The 9,653-nt window shown below is 39.5% G+C and overlaps 1 long non-coding RNA gene and 1 other non-coding gene across 2 annotated transcripts in view; one reads left to right on the forward strand and one right to left on the reverse strand.

The window, feature by feature from the left end:
• The first annotated feature begins 450 nt into the window (after nucleotides 1-450).
• The window catches only part of PRICKLE2-AS1 (PRICKLE2 antisense RNA 1), a 35,168-nt gene continuing 25,965 nt past the window's right edge, over nucleotides 451-9,653 (forward strand). Inside the window, exon 1 of the long non-coding RNA NR_045697.1 lies at nucleotides 451-648. This is a non-coding gene — a long non-coding RNA (PRICKLE2 antisense RNA 1). The remainder of the gene's footprint in view (nucleotides 649-9,653) is intronic.
• LOC124906380 (small nucleolar RNA U3) lies at nucleotides 4,294-4,506 on the reverse strand. The gene has a single exon (XR_007096344.1). It is a non-coding gene; the product is annotated as a small nucleolar RNA U3 (small nucleolar RNA).

Genomic DNA, 9,653 nt, shown 5'->3' on the forward strand with positions numbered 1-9,653 from the left:
TTGGGCTAATTGGTAAATATTAGCTTTCATTCTCTGAGCAACTTGTCAACAAAGGGATGGCATCCAGAAATGGAGGGACATGCGTCTTAATTATACCTGCAGTGGTTAATGGGCCAGTGAGGCATTCCGGGTACTCTAAACCCTTGCTGACTTCTCCCAAGCTGGGGCCTGTCAGCTCTATCACTGTGCCAGGCTGCAACGAGTGCCAGTTCTGGAAAATCTGGCTGCCCTTCAGGGCCTTTTAATTTGACACTAATAAGCCTGATTTAGGCTTTGTATTATGGAGCAGCAACCAAATATTATTGCCAGAAAGGGCAAATAGCTGATGTCAGCGGTCTTTTCTAGGCAAGAAATGAACGTGATATTTTCTCCGCCTCCTCTCTTCTGACTGAGAAGATGATTCCTGGAGATAATCCACTTGGTTATCCGTGGATGTGAACATAATTTGGAGGCAGCAGTCACTCCAGATGGCCCGCTGAAGCTGGGAGTCCTGAGTTAATTTCAAGCCAAATTTCTCACTCCCTGGAGGAGCAGAGTGGAGGGTGTGTGTGCATGGAGAAGTCCAAGATTTCATATCTGGAAAAGAAGACTGGGAGAGGCCAGCATGAATGGCCACTGTCCTCGCCAAATCTGGATGGTATGTCTTAGGTGAGTTGTTAAGAAAACTTCCTGACTGCCGTTGTGGACAGATCTTGGAACAGACTGCTGAGGGCAGCTGCAGGATGACTTTTTCTGGAGTTCAGAGCTGCCTGGGTGGTTCCAATGCTCTTGCCTGACTCAGCTAGCCCAGGCCTCCTGAGTGACCTCTGAAGGTGTGCCCCAACTCACTAAGCCCTAGATCTGTGTGGGCTTCTGAGGGGTGGGGAAGACATGGGGCCAGTAACATAGAACTATGGTGGATTGGTAGCTTCAATGAGTACAAAAGGAATTCCAGAGAAACTTAGATATTTGGGTGTACATCACTGCTCACTGGAATAAAAGAGAAAAAAAGAGAAGCAAAGAGAGAGGGGAGAGGGAAGAAGAGAAAACCAAAGGGAGGATTTTTACAAAGAATTACACATAGACAATCAAGCAAAAGATAAATGAAAGCCATCAAGATGATTGCAGTGACATTTGATTTAATAGAGTAGAAAGGAAGAAAAGTAGATTTCAGGATGATGGAATGGGACTGTTTCATCATATCAATTTTTAAAATATGTATTTCTTTTTTATTGCTAATTTATTACTGAAATATATCAGATTTTCATCTTGTCTTGCATCTTGGGTCTTGGGGAAAACTCACTTGGGCTTTGGTCTTAGGAACATGTTTCTGTCTATTTTTCCGAATAGTTTGAGGAGAATTGGTGTTAGTCCCTCTTTGAAAGTTTGGTAGAAGTTGGCAGTGAAGCCATCCAGTCCCGGGCTTTTCTTTGTTAGGAGACTTTTTATTACTGATTCAATCTCTGTACTCATTATGGGTCTGTTCAGGTTTTTATATTTCTTTCTGGTTCATTCTTCATAGGTTGTATGTGTCCAAGAATTTATCTGTTTCTGCTAGGTTTTCCAGTTTGTTAGTACATAGTTGTTCATAGTAGTTTCTTATGATCTTTTGTATTTCTGTGGTATCAGTTGTAATGTCTCCTTTTCCATTTCCGATTTTGTTCATCTGGGTCTTCTCTCTTTTTTCTCGGTTAGTCTAGCTAGTGGTTTATGATTTTGTTTATCTTTTCAAAAAGCCAACTTTTCATTGTGTTGATCCTTCATATTTTATTTTTAGTCTCTATTTCATTTAGTTCTGCCCTGATCTTTATTATTTCTTTCTACTAATTTTGGTTTTTGTTTATTCTTCCTTTTGTAGTTCCATGAGGTGCATTATTAGGTTGTTTATTTGAAATCTTTCTACCTTCTTGACAGAGGCATTTATTGCTATAAACCTCCCCCTTAGCACTGCTTTGGCTGTCTCCCATAGGTTTTGGTATGTTGTGTTTCCATTTTTATTTGTTTTTACATATTTTTTCTTTCTTAATTTATTCATTGACCCAATTGTTACTTAGGAGCATGTTGTTTAATTTCCATGTATGTGTGCAGTTTTCACAATTCCTTTTGGTATTGATTTCTAGTTTTATTCCATTGTGGTCTGGGAAGATACTTGATATGATTTTGAGTTTTTAAAATTTGTTGAGACTTGTTTTGTGGCCTAATGTATGATCTATCCTGGAGAATGTTCCATATGCTGATGAGAAGAATGTGTAATCTGTAGCTGTTGGGTAAAATGTCCTGTAATTATCTGTTAGGTCCATTTGGTCTAAAGTACAATTTAAATTCATTTTTTTTTGTTGTTGATATTCTGTCTGATCTGTCCAGTGCTGAGAAGGGGGTATCAAAGTTCCCAACTATTGTGTTGCAGTCTATCTCCCCGTTTAGATGAAATAATATTTGCTCTATATATGTGGGGACCCTAGTGTTGGGTGCATGTGTATATTTAGAATTGGTATATCTTCTTGTTGAATTTATCCCTTTATCATTATATAATGACTTTCTTTGTCTCTTTTTACCGTTTTTGACTTAAAGTCTGTTTTATCTAGTATCTGTTCACTTTTGATTTTCATTTGCATGGAATATCTTTTTTCATCCCATTTATTTATAGGTGAAGTGAGTTTCTTGTAAGCAGAATATAGTTGGGGCATTTAAAAAAATCCACTAAACCAGTCTGTATTATTTTAGTGGAGAATTTAATCTGTTTACATTCAAGGTTATTTATGATAGGTGAGGACTCATTCCTGTCATTTTAAAAACTGTTTTTTGGTTGTTTTGTATAACCTTTGTTCCTTTCTTTTTTTCTTGTCTGCCATTGCTTATGGTGGGTTTTTTGTTTTGTTTTGTTTTGTTTTTGTAGTGGTAACATTTGGGTCCTTTCTCTTTCTATGTCTGCTCTACCAGTGAGTTTATATTTTTGTGTATCTTCATGATAGTGGATATTGCTCTTTTACTTCCAGATATAGGACTTCCTTAAGCATTTTTTTAAGGCCAGCCTAGTAATGAATCCCCTCAGGTTTAGCTTGTCTAGGAAAGATTTTATTTCTCCTGTATTTTTGAAGGATAGATTGGCTGCAGATAGTGTTTTTGGCTGACAGTTTTTTTTCTTTTAGCAGTTTCTCACATTCTTTCTTTCATCACATTCTCTCCTGATCTGTAGGTTTCTGCTGAGAAATCCACTGTTATTCTGATGGAAGTTCCCTTATGTGCAACTTGATGTTTTTCTCTTGCTGTTTTCAGAATTTTCTCTGTCCTAGACTTTTGTAAACTTTCCTGATTTTAAATTTTAAGGATTTCAAAAAATTTAGAACCAACCCCTGTGTCCAAATGAAGTATGTGACAGGGCTGGATATGACTGTGAGCTACAGTTTTCAACATCTGGTTTTATTTATCATATATGTTGAAATAAAAACAAAACTAGAGAAATATATAAAAACAGCAAGAACTATTAATAGTTGTTCCAATGTGTGGGTTTTTTTTCTGTTTTTTTTTGTTTTTGTTTTTTTTGAGACAGAGTCTTGCTCTGTTGACCAGGCTGGAGTGCAGTGGTGTGATCTCAGCTCACTGCAAACTCTACCTCCTGGGTTCAAGAAATTCTCTGCCTCAGCCTCCTGAGTAGCTGGGATTACAGGCGTCCACTGTCATGCCTGGCTAATTTTTGAATTTTTAGTAGAGATGGGGGTTTCATTATCTTGGCCAGGCTGGTCTTGAACTCCTGACCTCATCATCCACCCGCCTCAGCTTCCCGAAGGGCTGGGATTACAGGCGTGAGCTACCACACTGGACCCCAATGTTTATTTACTTGATCAAATCATTCCGGTCCTTCAAAATGCAATATAAGCACAACCTCTTACTAAAACCCTTTCTAAACATGCCCTCCACTTCCTACTCCATCATTCCATCCCATCTGCCACCTCTGTGGTCCAAGCCATCATAATACCTTCTGATTGTGGCATGAGACAAGACAGCTGCTAGAGCTCCAGCCATCACATCTGCACTCCAAGGAGCAGGTTAGGGGAAGGAGGTGAAGTGCAAAAGGGCCTCCTTCCAGATGAGGCAGTCCCTCTCAGATGGCTTTCAGAAGCTGTACCCAAGAACTTCACTTATTTATATGTCATTGTTCAGTAATTGCTGCAAGGGAGTTTGGGATATATAATCACATCATTAACTGAAGTAAAATCAGACATCTGTGTAAAGGGGAAAAAGATTATTAGGTGGGCAATTAGCATTCTCTTCCATGACTTGTTTTCCTGTTTTTGTTTTTTTACAAATATGGGAACCACTCAGACTGCAGTCTCTCCCTCTTACTATCCCAGAGGAAGAGAAGAATGGTTATCAATGGCAAATAGCAGTTGCAGCAGAGCAACACCAAGAGCTGGCTTTTCAGTCAGGAGCAGACACTGTGTCTCCTTGTGGTTTTTCATGCTTTACACATTCAGAGAACTTTCTCTAGTAACAAACTATAGAAATGATTCCTGAAAGTATAATCTTTCCCTGCTTTTACTGTTGTCCCCTACAATTCATTCTCCAAACAACCATTGTTTCTAAATACATTATGCTGTGTTTCCCAATTTAAACATCTTTAATGGCTCTTATTGTCCTTAGGACAAGGCTACAAATTTTAGTAAGAACTAGAATGCCTGTGCAACTTAGCAGTGCTGTCAACCTCCTTCTTCCTCCAAGTCCCATCTCTCTTGCTCTCATTCTTGGCTTCGCCTACACTGGCATTACTTCAATTCTTTGAATGTGTCAAGTTCTTTTTGTCCTTCGCACAGGCTGTTCCCTCTGTCTTGAACTCTCTGCCCCCAGCTGAATGACACTGCCAAGTGTTAGCTGAAATGCTGCCAGGTGTCAACTGAAATGTCATATCCTCAGAGAGGCCCTTCCTCACCATTTCATTCAGAGCACCTCCTCCACCCATTCTTCTTGGGCTCTACATTCTCACTCACAACCTCCCCACAGTTCAGGACACTGTATTGATGTGTGTGATCACTTCTGATGGCCAGTCTTCCTCACTAGACTCCATCTAGGGTAAAGACAGATGCACCGTTTGGTATGCTTGGCATGCAATCTAGTACCTGACAAATTAGAGGTGCTCAATGAATATCTATTGCCTGAATCTCTAAAATAAGTTAGTATGTTTGTTTGGTGCTATGGTACTTAAACAGGTGAAGGGTATATGAGACTCAGTTAAACTGAGGATGTAAATCCCCGGTTGTGCAGGATCTGATATAATCCTAGATTCATAAGTTTTTGTGCTGGGTCTGGGGAGACACCCTCTCTCCCCAAACCCAGCACAAAAACTTATGAATGTAGGATTATATCAGATCCTGCACAACTAACCACTTATCAATACCTAAAATCACCCCTCCCTTTTTTTCCTCCTTTATTCTTATACAGAATGAACTTTCTAGGCCTTCCTAGTTCAGCTGTTCTATGCTGGGTGATGAATGTGAGGTGTCTGCTCCTTTATCCTCAATTCAGTTATGTGCATTAATTAAGCATAAATAATTGAGCAGTGGGTGGGGGAGAGGGTGCCCATGTATTTACATCTTGGGATGTAGCTCTATTGCTCTAAAAAACAAGCATAAACAAATACAACCTTATGAAATTATTTTCCTTTAAATCTTTGCATCCAAAATGCAGGAGAAAAAAGAAAAAAAAAACTAGGAAGGGAATTCTCAAGAGAGGTATCATGTAACTTTATCTGAGGATGCAAACTGAAGGTGAATGGGGAATACATAAACCAAAGAGCTGGCAATGTTTGCAGCTTGAGCAGGGAGAGGCATATCAATTATTGATACTTTTCCTTCTCTAGATGTGTGTGATTCATTCCATGCTGGCTCTAACATATGCAGGGGAAAAGGAGAGAGAAGAATGTTAAGATTTTCTCACTGGCCAGAGTGCTGACACTGGTTTTCTGCTCCAATTAAAGTGGGACCTTGAGAGTGTGGGGGTGATACTCTTTGTCCAGATGAACTTTGGCAAAGTGATGGAGGATGGGAGGCCCAGATGTGTGACCCAACAGCAGATGTCAGCACTGGGATGGTCCAGCTGAGTGCACGTTTATGCCTTTCCTTCTCCAAGGGAGACCTCAGGAGATAGATAGTATCTCACAGGCTTACAACAGATGCTAATCAGATTATATCCAGATGCTCTATGAACATATGTCAGCAGTTGAAAAGACCTACTCTAATTGAGGCAAAATTACTTTTTCCAATGCTGTAGGTAAAATGCACAAGTAAAAATATAACTCTGTGGTTGTTTAAATACACCCTAAGGTACTTTTTCTTTAGCACACAGAAAGCCCAGGGTGAACAAATATTGTATGTGCTTGCCAAGAAGTCTGTTGAAGAGACAAAAGTGGAGAGAGAAAGGAAGTAGGCAGCCTCTTCAGCTCCCTGTGCTTACAAGATGCAATTTCTTAATGGTTTAGGATTCTATCATCCAATTTGAAAACCATGCTTTTGTAAATTCTCTTTCTTGCTTGCTGATTGAGGAGCTCCTAATGTTAACAAGTTTAATTTATTACATACTGAAGAATATCCAAAGTGTTTTCTTATGTATTTAGTGCAGAACTTGTGTTTTTCAACAAATGCATCAACCACCATTTGTTGAGGGCCCACCTTATGCACTGGCCAGTGAGGAGACATCAGTGAAGAGTGTTGTAGACAGCTGTGAGCTTTCAAGGAGCTCATAGTGTCATAAGGGAGGCAGACAAGTAAACAGGAAATTACGACACACGTGGAAACACCATGATGGAGAAAGCTTAAGATGCTATGGAAGTATAGAGGAAGCTTGCCAGATGCAGCCTTGCTATGGGGATGGCTGAGAAAGCTTGAGGAGGAACAGATACAGGCTGAAGGGGCTGGATGGAGTAGAGGTGAGGGAAGGGAACTCTTAAGACATGAAACATGCCACACGAGACTATATCAGTGGCTATAAATTACACAAGTTCTGATTAGAAGATAAATAACTAAAACTGTAAAAATGGAATGGGCTTCCTCAGAAAACCCCAAAGTTCCATATTATTAGAGGTATGCAGAGACCAGATTAGCAGTTTGGGAAATTACAAAAATACATTTTTGACCTGGGTGGGAGGCCATACCAGCCAGCTCCATAGTGCCAACCTCAGAGCCAAGCCAAATTTCCAGAGGTAGAGTTCAGAAATGTGCATTTGTTTAAAAGCTTCCAAGGTAGTCATCAGGCAAATCAAAACCACAATAAGATACCAGTCCACTACCACTAGGTGGGAGAAGCCATTAAGATGGTTATTTTTTTTTTAGAAAAAAGGGAAAACAACAAATATTGGTGAGGATATGGAAAAATTGGAACCTTTATGCATTGCTGATAGAAATGCAAAATGGTATTGCTGCTGTGGAAATTGTGTAGTAGTTCCACAAAAGTGAAACACAGAATTACCAAATGATTCAGCCATTCCATTTCTAGGTATATACCCAAAGGTATTGAAAGCGAGGATTCAAACATATTTGCACATCCTTATTCGTAGCAGCATTATTCACAAACCCAAAAAGGGAAAAACGCCACAATTCCATCAATAGATGAATAGATAACCAATCTGGTGGTATGTCCATACAATGGAGTATGATTCAGACATAAAAAGGAATGAAGTTCTGATATATGCTACGACGTAGATGAACCTTGCAGACATTCTGCTAAATGAAACATAAAGACACAAAAGGACAACTACTATATTATTCCACTTATATACAGTATCTAGAAAAGGCAACAGAAAATGGATTAGAGGTCACCAGGGGCTGGGGGTGGGGAATAGGAAGTCATTGCTTAATGGTTATAGAGCTTCTGTTGGGGTAAGAAATAGATTTGGAAATAGACAGTGGTGATACAACAATGCGAATGTACTTAATGCCACTAAATGGCAGGCACACTTAATAATGGTTAAAATGGTAAATTCTGTTATGTATATCTGACCACAATTTTTTTAAGAAAGACAAAAAGCTCTCTCACTGATTTTAAAGCAGTCAGTCCACAGAGCAGTTAAATAATTTTTTTTAGTTTTTGATTTTTGTGGCTACATAGTAGGTATATATAATTATGGGGTACAGAAGACATTTTGGTACAGGCATGCAATGTGAAATAATTACATCACAGAGAATGGGGTACCCATCCCCAAGCATTTATCCTTTGTGTAACAAACAATCCAATTATACTTTTATTTTAAAATGTACAGTTAAATTATTGACTATAGTCCCCCTGTTGTGCTATCAAATACTAGGTCTTATTCAGTCTAATTTTTTTTTTTTTGCACCCATTAACCATCCCCACCTCCCTCCCCCTACCCTTCCCAGCCTCTGGGAACTTTCTATTCTCTATCTCCATGAATTTAATTGTTTCGATTTTTAGATCCCACAAATAAGTGAGAACATGTGATGTTTGTCTTTCTGTACCTGGATTACTTCACATAATGTAATGACCTCCAGTTCCATCCATGTTGTTACAAATCACAGAATCTCATTTTTTATGGTGGAATAGTACTCTATTGTATATATGTACCACATTTTCTTTATCCATTTATCTGTTGGACACTTCAGTTGCTTTCAATTCTTGGCTATTGTGAACAGTGCTGCAATAAACATGGGAGTGCATATAGCTCCTTGATATGCTGATTTTCTTTCTTTTGGGTATATACCCAGCAGCAGGAATGCTGAATCACATGGCAGCTCTGTTTTTGATTTTGAGGAACCTCCAAACTGTCCTCCATGGTGGTTGTATTAACTTGCATTCCCACCAGCAGTGTACAAGGGTTCATGTTTCTTCACATTTTCATCAGCATTTCTTATTACCTGATGTTTGAATAAAAGCCTTTTTAACTGGGGTGAGATGATATCTCACTGTAGTTTTGATTTGCATTTCTCTGATCAATGATGTTGAGCACCTTGTCGTATACCTGTTTGCCATTTGTGTGTCTTGTTTTGAGAAATATCTATTCCCATAGGCAGTTTTGGGGAACCTCTGGACTAGCTTATAGCTTATAGAGCTTACAGCTCTAGATGTTTCACAGGCTAAAAAAGCCAAAGTGGTTGCATGCTTTCTCCTGTATAGGGCAAAGCCAGGTGCAGATGATGTCGCCATCACTGTCAACCAGGAAGACCCTGAGCTGTGTTGTGTAAATATCTGCCTCTTAAACAAAAAGACACTGTAGGATGTACTTTTGGGATATAGCTACTTGTGAGGACAGATAAGCTCCAAACATTTCTGATATCTGCCTGAGTCAGTAAGGGGCTTCCCTCTGATAAAAACAGTTAGTGAAATCCAAGGTCTTTCTCCAGGACAGGTGGCAGATGATGGTATATTTCAGTTCCTGTTGCCCACTTCCATGGATCACTTATGGGTAATTTCATTTCTTAGGGTCAGATAGAAGCCAACACATGCCAGCATTCCCTTCAGCAGATACTCCAAATTTCATATGCACATATGCACCTTGAATCTTCAGATTTGCACCAATCTCCCAAAAGTGGGAAAGGAGGAAGGTGGGTGCAGTTCGGTGTATTCAGTGTCCTACCCTGAGTTCTCTAAGAAGCAGAGCATGAGACAAAGGCTTGAGTGCCAGTAGGTTTATTTGGGAAGTGATTCCGGGGAGGAGGAGTCGGGGATGG

The sequence above is a fragment of the Homo sapiens genome, chromosome 3, assembly GCF_000001405.40.
Source record: "Homo sapiens chromosome 3, GRCh38.p14 Primary Assembly".
NCBI lineage: Eukaryota > Metazoa > Chordata > Mammalia > Primates > Hominidae > Homo > Homo sapiens.